Source organism: Homo sapiens, chromosome 2 (assembly GCF_000001405.40).
Source record: "Homo sapiens chromosome 2, GRCh38.p14 Primary Assembly".
NCBI classification, from domain to species: domain Eukaryota; kingdom Metazoa; phylum Chordata; class Mammalia; order Primates; family Hominidae; genus Homo; species Homo sapiens.
In genome coordinates, this window is record NC_000002.12 from 236,800,542 (window position 1) to 236,818,815 (window position 18,274).

The following is an 18,274-nucleotide window of genomic DNA, read 5'->3' on the forward strand; positions in this document are numbered from 1 at the left end:
TTACCTAGACCTACCACTACCATTGATGCTAAACCACACTACAGGAAGAAATTGGCAGGAAAAAAAGTGTATTAGTTTCTTGTGGCTGCTGTAACAAATGGCCACAAGCTGGGTGGCTACAAAGAGAAGACATTTATTATCTCCCACTCCTGGAGGGTGCAAGTCAGAAGTCAAGGTGTGGCCGGGCACAGTGGCTCACACCTGTAAGCCCAACAGTTTGGGAGGCTGAGGCGGATGGATCACCTGAGGCCAGGAGTTCGAGATCAGCCCGGCCAACATGGTGAAACCCCGTCTCTACTAAAAATACAAGAATTAGCTGGGCATGGTGGCGGGTGCCTGTAGTCTCAGCTACTCAGGAGGCTGAGGCAGGAGAATTGCTTGAACCCAGGAGGCAGAGGTTGCAGTGAGCCAAGATCGCACCACTGCACTCCAGCCTGGGAATAAGTCTAGGTGCTGCAAGGCCAGGCTCCCTCTGAAGGTGCGTGGAAGATTCCTCCCCGCCTCTTCCAGCTTCTGGTGGTTGCGCAATCCCTGGCTGTCCTCACAGATGCAGCGCTCGCTCCAATCTCCACCTCCATCGTCACGTGGTCTCTTTCCCTGTGGATGCTTCTCCTCTGTGTCTCTGTATCCAAATCTCACCTTCTTACAAGGACACCAATCATTGGATCAACACTCCGCCCACACCACCAATCTAGTATGACTTCATCTTAATTTACTGACATCCGCAAAACGAAGACCTTATTTCCAGATAAGGTCATATTCACAGGAGGCTTGAACATATATTTTGGGGAACATAATTGGACCCACAGCAAAGGGACACATACAGAATTAAGAGGCGACTAAATGGAGAACAAGACATCAAAGAACAAGAAGCAAGCAAGCAAATGATAAATCTCTGGGGTGGAAGTTGGAGATGAAGGCTGCGGGCATGGGTGTTAGGGCACGTGGCCTCCCTCATTCAGTGACAGTGGCAGCTCAGTTGTTAAGGAGGGTTGTGAGCCATGTGCAGGTTGGGTTGGGGACAGACGCCCTGATGACTGACAAGGTAACGAGATGTGTGATGGACATGGCAGGGAAGATGGAGGCATTTATGCAGCCGATCTGCCAACCTGGTTCATTGTTTCTTTGCTGGAATGCTCATTCATTACTGTTCTATGCCTGCATTGGCGTGAACCAATACATCAGTCCCCACATTCAGAAAAAAAGCTCTTAAATCTGACTCCCAAGAAAGATTTGTGATGCTGTATAAATGATAACTAATATGGTCTGCATCCTTAGATTTTTAGGGCCAAATTTTTGTCATCATCATAGGTATACACCCATAGAAAATGTATTTTTCAAGATAAAGATATATTCTTTCTGAAATTACATCATACAGCCTTGATTGGAATGCTAAGAGAGTTAAAGTTGCCTAGAGAGGAAAAAGAGAATTGTGTTCTTTTGCTCTTGAATGTTGCCTTATGAAAGTTTTATCCTATTGTTAATAAGGAACTCTAAAAAAAGAGAAAATAGTATGCCATTGTTCCCCTATTCCATGAGTCTTGCTCATAGAGTCTCCCCCACTCCAATCATTCATATATAAGATGAAACTTACAGAATATTAGTGTTATGTATCAGCCAGCCAAGGCTGCCAGAGCAAAGCACCACAGACCAGGCAGCTTAAACAACAGAAATTTATTTCTCCCAGTTCTGGAGGCTGGGAGTCCAAGACCAAGGTGTCGGCTCCTGAGACCTCTCTTCTTGGCTTGCAGATGGGGTCCCTGCTCTTATTACTTAATTTAAACTCCTTACTTCTTCATTTTTTGTTTTTCTGTTTTTGATTTTGAGATGGAGTCTCACTCTCTACCCCAGGCTGGGGTGCAATGGTGTGATCTCAGCCCACTGCAACCTCCCCCTCCTGAGATCAAGTGATTCTCCTGCCTCAGCCTCCCAAGTAGCTTGGATTACAGGTGCCCGCCACCACGCCCAGCTAATTTTTTGTATTTTTACTAGAGGCAGGGTTTCACCATGTTGGCCAGGTTGGTCTGGAACTCCTGACCTCAAATGATCCACCCACCTCGGCCTCCCAAAGTGCTGGGATTACAGGCATGAGCTACCGCGCCCAGCCTTCTTGCCTCTTTAAAAGCACTGTCTCCAAATACAGTGGCATTGTGAGATACTGAGGGTTAGGATTTCAATGCATGAATTTGGGGGGGAACATAAATTAGCCCATAACAGTTACAAAGGAACTTAGAGATAAACTTGTCAACTGTCCTTTTTATAGAGGAATGTGCATTTTGTGCCTTCTTCATGCTAGGCAAGTCTATGGGAACAAATCAAGAAATCTCAGCAGCTTAAAATAGCAAGGTTCATTTCATGCTGACGTTACCTGGTCAGCGAGGGTCTGTGGGGGCCTTGGATCCATGCAGTCACTCAAGGCCCAGGCTGACGGAGTGTCCTGAAGCTCGTAGCTGCACCTTCTAGAACATGAGGTCCCCAGGTGCCCGTGGCAAGGACAACAGAACATAGACAAGTCAGACTCATGTGGCTGGAGGTGACATGGGCCAGCTCTGGCCATAGTCCATGGAGCAGAACTGGTCACATGTCCACTGAATCACGGAGCCAGTGGGGGTGGGAAGGCATTTGGACATCTCTGCTACAACTTGATGGAGCAAAGGAGTCCAAGTCTTCACTCTATATAATTATTTTTAAAATGTACTATTCTGTTCCCTCCTTAGTCTGTGGTAGAAGGGATAAAAATGAATAAAATATAAAAGTAAAAATATGCATTTGTTAAAATTCCCAAGGTATTGCCATAATACGTTTGATTCTGTACTTTTTCAACAAATATTAAGCAAAAAGCTATTTTGTTAGGTGCCCAGGACATAACGACAAATAAGGCAATTCCTGACTTGAAGGAACTTTTAGTCTAGGGGTAGAAAACAGTCAAGGAAGCAAAGTGTGTGATGAGAACCGTGCTAGGTGAATGTGGATGGCATTCTAAGTAGAGAGAAGCTGCAAACGGCTTTCCAGGAAAGAACCCAGGCCGCATCTGGAGAGGTGCCCAGTATTTGTGAGGCAGAGAAGGGGATGCACTCCCGCGACGACAAACAAGTGCGTGTGTGCGGGGCTGTGTTTGCTCGGCTCATTTCTGAGTGCTCCCAAGTGCTGAGCACCGCTCGGCACATTGCCGGCCATTTGGCCCAGCACAGCCCCTCTGCTCCCGTCTGTCTCCCTCTGTTCCCTGTGCTGGGCGCGGGCCTGCGTGATCAGCATGGGGCTCCTTTACCCTCTGGCTTCGGGCTGGGATCCGTCAATGGGGATTCCCGGGCAGAGGTCAGAGAGAGAGGCAGGAGCACAGGGTCTGGGCTTGCGCGTCTCCTGCTTTCTTATGCGGGAGACATCTGCTTCCCTCACGGGCATCCCATTGCCCTTCCACACCAAGTGCCTTCCCCTGGGCTCCTGTTCCTCTCCCCTCCTCTCATTCCTTGCGGCTTCTGGGTGGTAACAGCAGCAAATGGTGCCACACGGTTGCCCAAGGACTGTGAAGGTGGCTAGTTGCAAAGGTGTAGGTTAGGTGGTGGGAACCAGAATGGGGCTTACCAGGTGATTGCAACCCCGTGGGAAGCAACCTCTGTGTAAAACCCCGTGGCCTTTTTTGTTGTTGTTTTTCTTTTGATACAGAGTCTCGCTCTGTCGGCCAGGCTGGAGTGCATTATCCAGAGCTGTTGGACAAATCCAGAGCTGTTATTGTACCTTCAGGTTGGTTACAAATTTTTTTCTTATCACCATCCTGACTAAAATGATATTTTTAACTAATACATCAAACACACCCCTAATCATGCTCTTTAGAAAGAATGCCAAGGAGTAGAAGCCTGGGGTCAAGAGCCGCGCACATTTTAAAGTTTTGGTGTTTTTTGCTAAATTGTCTGCCAGAAAAGTTGTACCAATTTTCATTTTGGGATGAGGGATGGGGAAGTGTATCTTCCTATTGTGTAAACTTGCAGTTCTTTGATTACTAATAATTTTAAATTTTGTTTCATATAATCATTATCAATTTATATTCATATGAATTTCTTGCTCAAGATTGTTAAATTTTTTATTCGTGTGTGTGCATATATATATATATATAGAGAGAGAGAGAGAGAGAGAGAGAGAGAGACAGAGAGAGATGGAGTCTCGCTCTGTTGCCCAGGCTGGAGTGCAGTGGCATGATCTCGGCTAACTGCAACCTCCGCCTCCCAGTTCAAGTGATTCTCCTGCCTCAGCCTCCTGAGTAGCTGGGATTACAGGCACCCACCACCAAGCCCAGCTAATTTCTGTATTTTTAGTAGAGACAGGGTTTTGCCATGTTGGCCAGGCTGGTCTCAAACTCTTGACCTCAGATGATCCACCCACCTCTGCCTCCCAAAGTGTTGGGATTACAGGTGTGAGCCACTGCGCCTGGCCCATGTGTTTATAGTCTACGTTAAAATTTTTTCTTTTATTCTGTACTTGTTATTTGTGCCCTTATCTCAAAAAGGTTTTGGTATAGCTTATTTGTTTAAAAGGTTTTAAAAATAAAAATAGATTTTAAAAACAAAAATAGACCAAAAGTAACAGAAAGGGAGAGAAATAAAACATAAGTAAACATACAGAACATACATAAAAAGGTTCCTATAACATCCCAGTACATTTAGGTCTGAGCTTCCCAATGGACAATGTGGAAAGGAAAAAACTTAACTTTTTTCTTGGAAAAGAAAGAGTATCTTTCTTCAAAGAAGATCAAATTAATGACTTTATTCAAATTTGAAGGAGTTTTTCATGTGGACTTATGCAAAGATTTTGGAAATCATTGCTGAAAATGTCTTTAGAAAAGAATATTAGACACCTAGTAGTTATTGTAAAATAATTCTGTAGTTTTAGATATGAAAACTGTTATACAAAGTCTAATTTATTGACTATTGGACTTTGGGATTTAAGAGACCACTTAAATACAACAAGCAAGATAAAGTGGATGGCAACAATACAATCATCAACTTCGAATTTTCTCATATAAAGATATTTCCTTACTCATATCTTATTCATATAAGATAAAAATTAAACTGTAAATAATTATGATGATGATTTCATTAATGTGTGTATTCTCTCACACATACACTCATAAAATCCCATTAGAAAGTTATGATATCAGAATAAAGAATAGAAATTTCCACAAACTAGCAGTTTTAATTACATGCACACATAGTCTTTTTTTTTTTCTTCCTTGTTTGGCATAGAGTTTAATCAGATTTAAAATGGTGAGAGTTCTGTCTAAGGTTGTTTGTCACTTTATTTTTATTTTTTATTTCCATAGGTTTTAGGGGAACAGATGGTATTTGGGCACATGAGTAAGTTCTTTAATGCACACATATTCTTGTCTCCAGGGTTTTCATTTAGCTATGCAGTCATAAAATCATTTTTGCTACTGGCCCCAGTCCCTGGACTGGTGTCTGGGAAGTACACTAATTCAGAAAACCGAGGCCAAGAAAATGTAAGTGCACTGCCTAAGATTACCCAGCTATTCAATAGCAAAGCTGGGAGGAGAGCCCCAGGCTCCTAATTCCTGTTTCCCTAAACAAGAACAATGGTCTGTAGATTGGAAGAGGAAAAGAATAAAAAAATCATAATTTTGATGTGAAATAGCTGGAGGGACAAAAAGAGGGTATCTTTCTGTGCAAAGGGACTAAGTGTCCAGGCTTAGAGAAACTGTGGAATCACTTCCCGGAACGTGGGGCCAAGCAGCAGATGTGGTGTACATCCGCAGACAGTAATAACTGAGGGACCGGGGAGGTGCCAAGAGGATGGATGTGCAAACTGTGGAATTCAAGGAACAGCTGAAGAACAGGGGCACAGCGGGCCCTGAAAACAATTAAAGAGGGATATTGTGTATAAAGTAATTTAAGTGGAGAGGTCTTCTATGCAATTCTGATTATAGAACTAGAACCAACAAGTTACTAGGAGGAGGATTTCTGGTAAATAATGAGGAATAGAGAAAGAATGTTATTTATTGTCCATTCCAGTCCCAAATCCCAGCAAATAAATATTTTAAAGAAATGTTTAATAAATAGAGCTTCACAGTGGTGAGTACACTGTCAAGAAGCAGTGAATCTTGATTTACTAGATATATTTAAACAAAGGGTTGGTAGAAATATGCCTGGAATACATAAAAATGGAAATATACTGTGGACATCTGATATCCTTGTAACAGGAGTCTCAGAAGGAAAAAGCAGATGACGGAGGGAAAAAATAATAGAAGAAAAATGTATTAAGCTTAGGAAAAATACCACTTTTTATTTAAAAAAGGGAGGGGGGAGCACCAAGCACCAAGAAAGAGTAATGAAAAAAGGAAGAGAAGAAGACCAATACCTAGGTATGTGCTATTGAAATTTTACAACTCTGAGCATAATTTTTAAACATCTTTTTTTTTTTTTTTGAGACGGAGTCTCGCTCTGTCACTCAGGCTGGAGTACAGTGGCGCAATCTCAGCTCACTGCAACCTCTGCCTCCCGGGTTCACGCCATTTTCCTGTCTCAGCCTCCCGAGTAGCTGGGACTACAAGTGCATGCGGCCACACCCAGCTAATTTTTTATATTTTTAGTACAGACAGGGTTTCACCATGTTAGCCAGAATGGTCTTGATCTCCTGACCTCGTGATCTGCCCGCCTCTGCCTCCCAAAGTGCTGGGATTACAGGCATGAGCTACTGTGCCCGGCCAATTTTAAAAAATCTTAATAGCTTCCTGAGAGAAAGAACAGGTTAGCTATAAAGAGATTAAAATAAAATTCAGATTATTTCCGATTCCTCAGCATCATGAGATAAAGAATAATGCCAAAGTTCTAAGAGAAAATTACTTTGAACCTGAAAATTTATACCCAGCAACACTATCCATCAAGTGAAGTCAAAATTATAACATTGTTGGCCAAGCATGGTGGCTCACACCTGTAATCCCAGCACTGTGGGAGGCCAAGGCAGATGGATCATGAGGTCAAGAGACCGAGACCACTCTGGCCAACATGATGAAACCCCATCTCCACTAAAAATACAAAAATTAGCTGGGTGTGGTGCCTCTGTGGTCCCAGCTACTCAGGAGGGTGAGGCAGGAGAATCGCTTGAACCCAGGAGGCAGAGGTTGCAGTGAGCCGAGATCGTGCCATTGCACTCCAGCCTGGTGACAAAGTGAGACTCCGTCAAAAAAAAAAAAAATTATTACATTTTCAGTGCAGCAAAGACAGAAAATGTATTCCCCTTGTACCCTAATTCACCTACTGGAAAACAATTTAAAAAACAGGTCATGTGGAATGGAAGATGCTATGGAAGCTGATTGGAACTGTGAGGAACTGAAATCATCTCCACCTGGAGCAATTAAACATGGACCTTGGAAGCCTTGCCTTTGAGAGGCCCAGGTGGGTCTGGAGACTTAGCATAATTTTTTCTTCTTTGCACATCCATTTAAACAAGTTGGTTCTACAGTGAAATATTTATAGTCTTCATTTTATATGGCTTGGAGTTTGGGTCATTTCCTTATATAAAAGGGGACAAGGTGCACTTGTTTTTTCTAAATCGAATTAAATTCAGTTTTGAGTACCGACTCGTCAAGGCTGGCAAGAAGTGTCTGCCATTAATGGCATTAATAGGCTTCTTGCTTTCCCTGAGCCCAGTGCCATGTGCCCAGAACAACAACGGGGAAAAGCCATGGTTCCTTTCCCTTCATCTGAGCATTGACTGTAATGTCCTTGGCTCCAGGATGCCGTGGTGAGTGTGGTCTTTAGCTGTGCGATGGCTGCAGCTGCTCATCTGCTCTAGGAACCCGAGTGAGACCCTTCCATCCCCCACCCGTGGTCCCTCCCTCTCCAATGTTTCAGCATGAAAGAGGGACACTCACTGGTCTCATGGCCTCACAGGTGGTCATGCTGCCCCATCTGAGGTCCTGTCGGCCCTGCACAGTGCCTCCTAGCCAGGCTCACACCATCCCTGTGTTAAGGGAGCCTAGCTCACGGTCTCCTCCCAGCCCTGGTTCAGCTGCCTCTAGAATGACAGTCTTGCTCCCTAAAGACTCCTCCCTTGATTTTGGTGGGGAACCTATCCTGTCACCTGCAACATCAGGGTGACCCATCCGATCACCTTCTTTTCTAGGGCAACCTGTCCTACCTACCAGCTGCCCCATCAGGGGGTAATCCACTGATCACCTCCCTCTGTTGGCACAGCAATCCTGACACCTACATCTGTGGGGCAACCTTCCCTATCACCTGCACCTTTTGGAATTTTGACTCCACCGTGGAGCCTAAGTGAAGCATGGAGTCTGGGAAAACAAAGCAGAAGCCACTTATTTGAAGAAAGAGAAAATCCCACCCATCCTTTCACCGTGAACCTGGAGTCCCACGGCTAGCTGCTTAGCTGGCTGCACTGTCGCGTTAAATAGTTTCCCTGGAAGAGAAATTGTCCTCTTAGATTTTCATTCGTTTTGTTGTTTCCTGTGGATTTTGGGGAGAGGAGGAGCATCTCCCCTGCACAGCTGCAAACTCAGGTTAGCTGGGTTATACTCCTGTGCCGGAGCTTGCAGCAGGTGATCAGGCCTGTGTACATGAGGCTGTGGAGAGGCAGGGTGGGTACTGGGGCCAGGGGACTTCCAGGAAATAAAGCTCCTACCTGAAATGATAAACAGAGGAATATAGTTTAGCCAATTAGAGAGAAATTATTTCTAAAAACTCAATAAAATGTAGTTTAACCTTTCTCTCATTTTCTGGTTTATTCATTTGAATTTTAACTCTTCAGATGGCAATTGGATAAGGAACGGGACAAGTCAGGCTGCAGGCCAGGGGTCTCTCCATCCTGGACAGAGCCCTTAGCAGATAAAACATCAATTCCATGACTTACTAATTATAAGTCATTAAGGCAAAGAGCCGCAGGGTCTAATTAAAGTTGAGTTATAGACTTTTAATAATGAAATCCTCTTGGTTAAAGCACTGCTACTGAATATGCCCCAAAATAAAACCCAAAGTTTAGCAAACAATAATGTAAGAATTATTTTTCTAAATCGGAAAAATAATGAAGCATGGTTAATTGAATCATCTAATTTTTCAGAAGAAGCTGACAAAAAACGGAGGTTCCCTGATACAATGTGAGTAAGAGTTTTTGGCATAAAAGGGCTTGAAATTAATGCCAGCTTCTGGAAACTGACCCAATAGTCCCATAGATAATTTTTTTGGATAAACATATGAATTGACCCTTTTGGTGGTAGCTTGAAACTTACATTTGTTTTATCTGAGTTCCTTTCTCAGGAAAGGACACCCAGGCATCTCAAAAAAAAAAAAAAAAAAAGTATCAAAGAACTGAAACTTACCAGATCACCGCATTCAGACAACAAGATGCCTCACTTCTCATTTGCCATGATTGCTTCCTTCCCCTCTCTAGTTCCTGGTTTCTTAGGCATGGTTACATTTCTTCCCTGCTATATAAACCTCTAGTTTTAGTGGGTCAGAGAGATGGATTTGAAACTGATCTTCCATCTCTTCAACTGCAGTACCTGATTAAAGCCTTCTTAGTTGGTGATACTTGTTGTCTCAGTGATTGGCTTCTGTGTGGCAAGCAGCAGGACCTAGACAGACCCCTGGTGTTTTGTTAACACTCTCTTCCCCTTATTTCAAGTCATACTGTCTGTTCAGGGTTGAGCAGGGAGGACCCTGCCCATGTCTCAGCATTCATGAATAAATGAGAAGGACTTAGAATGAGTTTATTCACATATCAATGCTGCTTTCTTAGAGGGAGGGTTAGGGTCACTGAAAGATTTGCTCCTGGTTTCGGCAAGGTGACTCATGCCTGTAATCCCAGCACTTTGGGAGGCCAAGATGGGCAGATCACCTGAGGTCGGGAGTTCAAGACCAGCCTGGCCAACATGGTGAAACCCTGTACCTACTAAAAATACAAAAATTAGCCAGGCATGGTGGTGCACACCTGTAATCTCAGCTACCCGGGAGGCTGAGGCAGGAGAATTGCTTGAATCTGGGAGACGGAGGTTGCAGTGAGCCGAGATCACAATACTGCACTCCAGCCTGGGCAACAGAGCGAGACTCTGTCTCAAAACAAACAAAAAAACAAACAAAAAAGATTTGCTCCTTTAGTTTTTAACATCTTGCCTCTAATCTAAATCTTGACCTACTTAATTTATTTGGTAAGAACCTTTCTAAAGTTAGAGTTTACTTTAGCTTACAGTCATCTGAATTATATCTCCTGAAATGGTAGATTCTAAATTAATAAATATATTTTTAAGTTATTACTCCACTTCTCACTTGGTTTATTCATTTGAAATTGCTGCGTTTTAACTCTCAATTGCTCAATAATGAACAGTCAGTGATTTGAGCAAGGAGGAGTCGTGAGTCAAAATGGTTCACAGCCTCCCTGGTTTCATGAGCCCTCATCTGGAAACAGCCTGGATGTCCTACTGAGGCAGGAGAATAGGGTCTGGAGGCAGGGAACCTAAGGTCATTTCACATTGACTTTTTAGAACTAAATTGAAAGGAAAGCCCTAACTTTCCATGCTTAAGTAACAAAAGGACCAGAGGGTACTCCCTTGGCAAGAAGCAACCAATCAGACATTTGCATAGGAGTATAACTTTGTGACTTCACTTCAGCCTCTGATTCCACAACCAATCAGACTGATTGCGGGCCAAGTCTTCGTTTGCATTGAAGTGCCACTTGGTAACTTCAATTTAGTCTCTGACTGGTTGTTTTCTGCAACCAGTCAGATGTCTGCATATGAATGTGACCTTTGTAACTTCACTTCAGCCTCTGTGGAAAGCAATCAATCAGGCTGATTGGGGGCTACCACTTAATTTACATGGGGTGAACACCAAGTGGCCAGTGTGAAACCTCTAGCAGGTACTTGGACTGGAGAAGATTCTGTATCGGGGCCCTTGAGCTGCTGCTCAGGCTGCTCCCACACTGTGGAGTGTACTTTCGTTTTCAACAAATCTCTGCTTTTGTTGCTCCATTCTTTCTTTGCTTTGTTTGTGTGCTTTGTCCAATTCTTTGTTCAAAATGCCAAGAACCTGGACACCCTCCCCCAGTAACACAACCAGAGACCTTCCTCTGGCCCATGTAGTCTCCCCAAGGAAATGGGAAAAAGGGGTGCTGTCTTGGTCAGGATCATGGCCTCAGGCCTCAGGCCTCAAGCTCATGGCCTGACAAGTGCCCCTTCCTCCAAGAAGCTACAGCCCCAGCCAGGTGCATGGCTTGGCAAGTTGAGTGTGAGCTGCATTCATCCTTCACATGATGTCTGTTGGGTGCTGTTGTGCAGTGTACAACCTGCACAGCCATACCTGGAAACCCTGTCGTAAAATAGAGGATTAGACACAAGCATCAGCATAAATACATAGGATGGAATATTATATGACTAAAAAAGCTATCAGGTGGTAGGAGAATGTTTATTGAACAAGGCATTGCTTTTAAGGTAGCATCAAAAGAAGAAAATAGAAAGTTCCAATGGTGCAAAGTATATACACAAACACTGGAAGCTCAGAGAAAGGCAAAAAGAGCATAAACCAAAATTTTCATTGTCCTTATCTCTAGGAGATGAGACAGCAGATGACTTTTTCCTTTGTGACTTTCATCCTTTAAGTTTTCCTCATGTATCACTTTTGTAATAAAAAAAAATTACAGTCATCCCTTGGTATCAGCAAGGATTGGTTCCAGAATCCCTTGCGGATATCAAAATTTGAGGATGCTCAAGTCTCTGATATAAAATGGTATGATATTTGCATATGACCTATGCACAACCTTCCATAGACTTTAAATGATCTCTAGAGTACTTGTAGTACCTAATGCAATGTAAATATCATGCAAACAGTTGTTATGCTGTATTGGTTTTAATTTGTGTTTAGTTTTATTATATTACTTTAATTTTTTTTTAATATTTTCCATCCTTGGTTGGTTGAATTCATGAGTGTGGAACCTGTGGGCACCGAGGGCCAACTGTTTGGCCGATTCTTATTACTCACGGTAGTTATGTTCTCTAAAGTCACCACAAACATGGAATTAGCAAATACTGGCCATCGCTTTCAGGGAAAACACAGGGTTAGTCCCCGTGAGCCCATGGCCACAACACTTGTATCCACTGATCGATAAGTCACCCTGTTTTATGTGTGTTTCTGTTTAAAGACACCTTACTGAATATATATTTCTTAAAAATAATTAATAATAGATAATAAAACATGAGTTGAGAAGGGTTTAGCATTTTCCTGACCCTGAGTAATATGATCATAAATTTATTGGGCTTTCAGCCTCACAACAGTGCTTTTGTCCCTACCGTTTATTTTCAACCAGTCCTCATCTCATGAATCCACACATTTAGCCCTTCCTATCTTTTCCATAGCTTCATCCCACACTAGCAATGCTAATACAGTACTTTCCAGGGCCACCTCATGTACAGATTGGCAAATTTCTGCTTCCACTTCCTTGATGTACCGTGTTGTCGATTCATGAATGGTGTCTCTGGCACCAAGGGCACTGCAGCCCTGCCTGCGCACAGCTTGCCTAACAATGCATGTTCCCTGTGGGCGCCTTGCCTTGCACTTAGGAACACCTGGGAGCTTGTCAGTATGACACTCAGGGGCCATTTAAAGCAGTGGAATCACCAAAAAAGCACAAAAATGCAACAACAACAACAAAAATGGCACTGCCAAAAGGACACGTTTTCAGTATTGAGGGCCATCAAAGAAGGCAGAGTGCTGCCTGCCCGATCTCGGGGGGAACAACGCGCACGCTGGGGGTGACCCAAAGTTCTTGCTGCTTTTGGTGCATGGGAGAATAACCTCAAAAGCACCTCAGGTGTTGATTTTAGAGAGAAGGTGAATTCGTAAATATGTGATCCCAACTAAAAAGGGCCAACTGTAATTAAAAACCAGCAAATCAGGTTTTCGTTGATGTCATTTTGATTACATTTCTGATCTCCTAGATAAATCATGTGGCTCTAAAATCACTAAATTGCCATTTTCTGAACACGGGGCTGCTGTGCAGCCTGACTGCTGTGTTCTTCACTAGGGAGTTATAATCCACAAAATTTAATGACATTAAATATGCTTTATGTTAGAGAGCAGTAATTTCCAATCAAAATCATTATGGCTTGGTTTTGTTTTTCTGTGTGGAATTTCATGGACAAAGCACTGAATGGAAGCACGTGTGCTGAAATCCAAGTGCAGCCCTGGTGACAGAGAGGGAGGCCTCTGGCATGAAGGGCAAGGTTACTTTTAGGGGAGTTTCACACTTGGGGGGATTGTATTTCACTTCCCTTGGCTTGAACCCCACCCAGCACCTGGGAAAATAGACGCCCCCTCTCAACCCCCTTGCCCCCCCAGGCAGCTCTGCCTGCCAGCACTGCTTCAGAGAGAGGTTTAACTTAGTTAACAGAAAACGGCATCAATAAACATCAGCTCTGTGAAGCTCTCACCCAACTCCAGGGCCCCAGGCTCAAGCTGAACACACCCTCTGTCTTGGCAGAGCTCCCTGCCTTGGTGGCTCTCCCACGTGGCTCTCTGGAAACCTCTGCCATCCCCTGAGAGGTAGGGAGACTTCATGGCCCCAGCCGTTCTCTGTTCTGCCTCCAGCTGGGGTCTCCACTCCCATTGCTAGGGAGCACCTGCTCCCCACGGTACCTCGATGGGGCTGGCATGAGGCTGGGTGGAGGAGTGGGGTGGCGGGTGGAGGCGGTGAGCAGGCAAAACCTTCTCCTCTTTAGTCTTTCTTCCCAAGACTTCTTCCATTGTCTGCATTAAGGATGGCCCTTGGCAAGATGGGCAAACTTCAGCAAGCACTATGAGTATAAAAAGGAAGAAATGTATGAACAAAAGGGTGCGTATTGATCCTACATTAATAGCCACAGGATTAACGGCAACCCTAGTTGATGGGGTTTGAGAAAGAGGGGTTTTGCCAGGTTATTTGCTCCAACCTGGTGGGCAAGGACTGGACATTTACATGGGGTCTGCCTTCCACTAACCAAGGGATGTGCAGAAGAAACATCCTTATAAAAAGGGAAAAATATTATGTAGCCTGCCCAGTGCCACAGTCTAACAAGAAAGCATAAGAGATGCTCTGAAAACTCAAGCTACTGCATTAATGTGATGGCTTATTACTGTCAAACAGCATTCTATGCAGGAAAGCCAGGCATGAGTCTTCCAAATTCTTGATTGCTTTTTAATAGCAATCGCAGTGTTCTCCCCTTTAACAGTTGACATTGGCACACATGAACGATCATAATATATAAGAACAAATATTATAAGAAAAGCCACAAAGAGATTTAGCAACTGTGTTTCTGTGCCTATTAAAACAGCGTTAGCATGTGGTTCCTCTGGCCCTCATAGACACCAAAGCATTATGAAGGCAACACTCGTGTTGCTAGGAAGATGATCTGTTCCAGGAATAACAAGGCAAATTAGTTTGACACATTGGTACATGTTGGGAATGTAATTTAAGCAACTTCACATGTGTTGGGCCGCTGGGTAGATCATTACTCTTCACTTTTCCTTCTGGGGCAAGAAGAGCAAAGTCTTCCTAAGCCATGCTATGTGGGTTGCTGTTGTGGCTGGACATGGCCATGGGACCAGGTACCTCCGGGGAAGCTGCCCAGTGCAAAATGGTCATGAGTGGGCCAGTGTAAGGAGGGACCACCCGTTCTGGAAGAAAGACGTTGTGCTGGTCCCATAGAATCTGAGAACAGGGCTAATATGTCTACCTGCATCAGGGCTCTCGCTCAGCTTTGGGGATCTTTTAACTCCAAATTTTATAAAGACCCCCAAATAATTAACTTTATGGTAATTGATTCACTAAAAAAATGAACTAAATATATGCATTTAAATATCTGCTTAGATACACTGTGCAATATACACAGGTATCTACGTATGCCTGCATATATATGGGTTGCAGATGTACATACATGGGATGCGTCTCAATTCACTTGCTGGTTGTCTGCTTCCATCCTCGGGATGCATTTCTACACAGAAAGGACCTCGTTTGTCCTGTTCACTTCCAAAGCCCAGGGCACAGAACAGTGCCTGGCACATGGTGATGATCAACGTGTATTTGATGAATCAAGGAATGCACAGATGGGCGACAGTCTTGGAGTTGACTCGGGTTCCCCCAGGACTGTGGTGGCATATGCACCACTTCGCAAACATGTTTCTTTTCTTCTCTGCCTCTATTAGCCAGTGCAGGAGAGTCCTCATCCCCGTCACATTTAGGGCCTTTCCCAGGACGGCTCCCAGGGCTCTCCAGCAGGTCTGGCTGGCACCTCATGACATCAGCCTCCTCTGGGGCGTGCTGCTGTCCCTGTGGGTGTGCCCGAGCCCACTGGTCCTTGCTGGTGTTTCTCCGATGACTGCAGTGCCCTCTGGGCCTGGCCTTCTCTGCCAAGCACAGGTGCAGTGAACAGACCCAGGGTTGCTGGGCTCCAGGGTCTCACACAGACCCTGCCTTTGTGCCTGCTCTCTCCTGGGGTACCAGGCCACCTCTGCCAAAGCACTGGGCGGTGAGGTTTTCCACAAAGTGCAGGCAATGCCTCTTCCTACATTTCGTGTTAAGAGTCTCTGCGTTCAGCAGCATCTTCCACATTCTCCCATGTCCTCACGGCACTTCTGTTTCTCCCATATGAATCCCTGGGGCTCAGACCAGGAGATTCAGTAAGTCCAAGGATGTCCTATGGTGTAGCCCATTCCCCCTGCCACTAAAGCAGATGCCTGCTGTGCCCACTCACTCTTCCCTTATAGTGAGCTCCTGGCCATCGTGCCCCCGGCAAACACAGGTGTGGGCGGCCGGCCTCGTGGGTCATCAGGAGAGCTCAGGCAGGGCTGGCACCTCTGTGGAGGCCCAGCAGGAGCTGCGGCTGGTGACCACACCCCTTGTGTAACACAGGCGTGCGGGCTCCTGCTGAGAGGTGAGTCCAGGTACCAAAACAGGGCTGCCCGGCAGGGGGCCTAGGAGACCCTGGCGCTGCTGTCTAGGGTGAGTTAAAGGCACCCTCCATGACCCTCTTCTGACACACAGGCACACCTAAGATGGAAGCTTCGCTCCCTGCACGGTGTGTGGCCATCAGTGACCTCCTGGATCATGCAGTCATTGCTGGGCCACCCTTCCCTCCTGGGCCTCCAGGCTCCTCCAAGCCTGCCTCTCAGCTCCTCCCATGGGAGAAGCTCAAACGTCCAGATGCAGGCCCCTGCCTCTAGCACAGTCTTCTCTTCTAGCTCTGGATTCCTCAGCATCGGAGCGTGGAGTCTCCATACACCTGCCACCAGGTTCCCATTCCGTTGTATTGGAGTCTGGGGCTTTGGCTGAACAAGGTCTGCTGTGAGGATCTCTGGAGTCTTATTTTTCTTGTGGTCTTGCCCCATGTCCCGTGATGCATGGCCTGGGTCTAGGCCTGCCCTCCCTGGCCCTCTCTGGGGAGGGGCTGGTCCTCGTCACCGTCTGGCCAGGCCTGCACGGCACCTGACAGTGATTCCTCAAGTCCCCTGGCCTGTGGAGGACAACCTTCAAGCCACCGGCATCGAATCCCAGTCTCGCGATGTTTCTTTGGCATTTGTTGTGGGAGTTGGTGGTAGAGGAGGTTCAGTGCATGGACTCAGATCACTATTCATACATAAAAATTCAATCGAACTAGGGTTTAGTTTACTAGATAAATAATTATTTAAGAAAACGACAAAGACTGTGGTCCTGCCTTTCATTCTCTCCCTTCCCTGGCCCTCCCTCCTTCCTTTCTCCCTTCTTTCCTCTTTTTCATTAATTGTTTATCTGCCATGTCTAAAAAAGCCTAAACGACAATGGCTTCTTCTGCCACCTCGGAACTCCATTTGTGGTGGCTGGCTCAGGGCACTGTGAACAGAACTAAACCTCTGAGGTCAGGTGTGGTGGCTCGCACCTGTAATTCCAGCACTTTGGGAGGCTGAGGCAGGCGGATCATGAGGTCAGGAGTTCGAGACCAGCCCGGCCAACATGGTGAAACCCCATCTCTACTAAAAATACAAAAATTAGCCAAGTGTGATGGCGTGCACCTGTAATCCCAGGTACTGGAGAGGCTGAGGGAGGAGAATGGCTTGAACGCAGGAGGGAGGTTGCAGTGAGCCGAGATCCTGCCACTGCACTCCAGCCTGGGGGGCAGAGCGACACTCCATCTCAAAAAAAATAGAACTAAACTCTGCCACGGGGGCAGGCTTCTCCACCTCTGCTCCTCGCTGAGCAGAAGGTAACCACTGGGCCCTCAGGGCTGGTCACTGAGGGCATGACATTCACAGTAAGGACCACTTTGATGTTAGGACCTGAAGGTGACTTGACCGACCTGGGTCTTTCCCACAGGAGTGCTTCTGGATCTTGCATTCTGCGGGTAGAGAGGGTGCGTTGAGTGGGATGGGAGGATTCCAGGAGAGCCCTGCATTTGGGTGTGAGTGCCAGGGAAGGGGGGCTGGAGCCAGAGTTTCTTTATGAGATGGTGAAGACTGGAGAGCGTAGAGACCACAGGTCACACGTGGGCACCAGGCTTGTTAGGTGTGCAGTCATAGAGGCTGTGCTTGTGGGTTGATAAAGGGAGAATCCCGATGGGTGCCAGGTGATACCCAAGTTCTTCATCCAGGGCAGGGACCAACAGCAGCACTGTCCTGGCAGATGGGACCGGGAAGGGCCTTGGGAAGAGCTAAACTCACCTCCTGATGGCACACAGGGCCAGGCCTGGGTGTGTGGCTCTCTGGACAGAGACAGCCACGTGTCCTGGAGGGGTGACGGGGCATCTTGGAAGGCTCCAGACCCAGCTCTCGGGCTTCAGTGTGCTCCAGAGTCACCCAGGTGAGCACTCAAAGGAGAGCAGCAAAGATGCCAACTCAGGAGAGCCACTGCTTCCCAGGCAGCCCTGACTCAGGAAGGTGAGCAGTGAGGACAGGTGCGTCCCAGAGGCTACCCCGGCAGCACCCTGCTGGGAGCACCGCATGCCTGGTGTAACTTTGGTCATGACTGAGAATAGCATCGGTCCCTCCTCAGGGAGCTCATGCTGATCACAAGCGTCAGGCTTTTGGCACGAGCTCCACTTCCTACGCTCCTCTTTCCCACCCGGCTCTTTACATTAGATCAGCTGATAAGAGAATGTCTAATCATAACATCTCACGAGGAGGAAAAGGATGTCAAAAGTCAAATAACCTGACCTCCTGGAGCATCAATAAGGCAAGAAATGACTTTTCCTGAAAGCTGGGTCCCCCGGGAATGCCGAATTCCAGACCTAGAGTCAGAGCTGAAACCCAGCCCATCC

General features: G+C 45.9%; 1 long non-coding RNA gene across 1 annotated transcript, besides 2 other annotated features; it reads left to right on the top strand.

The window, feature by feature from the left end:
- The first annotated feature begins 3,660 nt into the window (after nucleotides 1-3,660).
- LOC107986002 (uncharacterized) lies at nucleotides 3,661-8,214 on the top strand. The gene is made up of 3 exons (XR_001739954.1): nucleotides 3,661-3,741; nucleotides 7,289-7,403; nucleotides 8,134-8,214. It is a non-coding gene; the product is annotated as an uncharacterized LOC107986002 (long non-coding RNA).
- Nucleotides 10,472-11,054: an enhancer, noted in NCBI's record as "NANOG hESC enhancer chr2:237719656-237720238 (GRCh37/hg19 assembly coordinates)". NCBI's record gives its function as "activates a minimal SCP1, AML or CMV promoter by ChIP-STARR-seq in primed H9 embryonic stem cells {active_cell/tissue: H9 hESC(primed)}" and the evidence as "EXISTENCE:reporter gene assay evidence [ECO:0000049][PMID:30033119]".
- Nucleotides 17,536-18,036: an enhancer, noted in NCBI's record as "H3K4me1 hESC enhancer chr2:237726720-237727220 (GRCh37/hg19 assembly coordinates)". NCBI's record gives its function as "activates a minimal SCP1, AML or CMV promoter by ChIP-STARR-seq in naive H9 embryonic stem cells {active_cell/tissue: H9 hESC(naive)}" and the evidence as "EXISTENCE:reporter gene assay evidence [ECO:0000049][PMID:30033119]".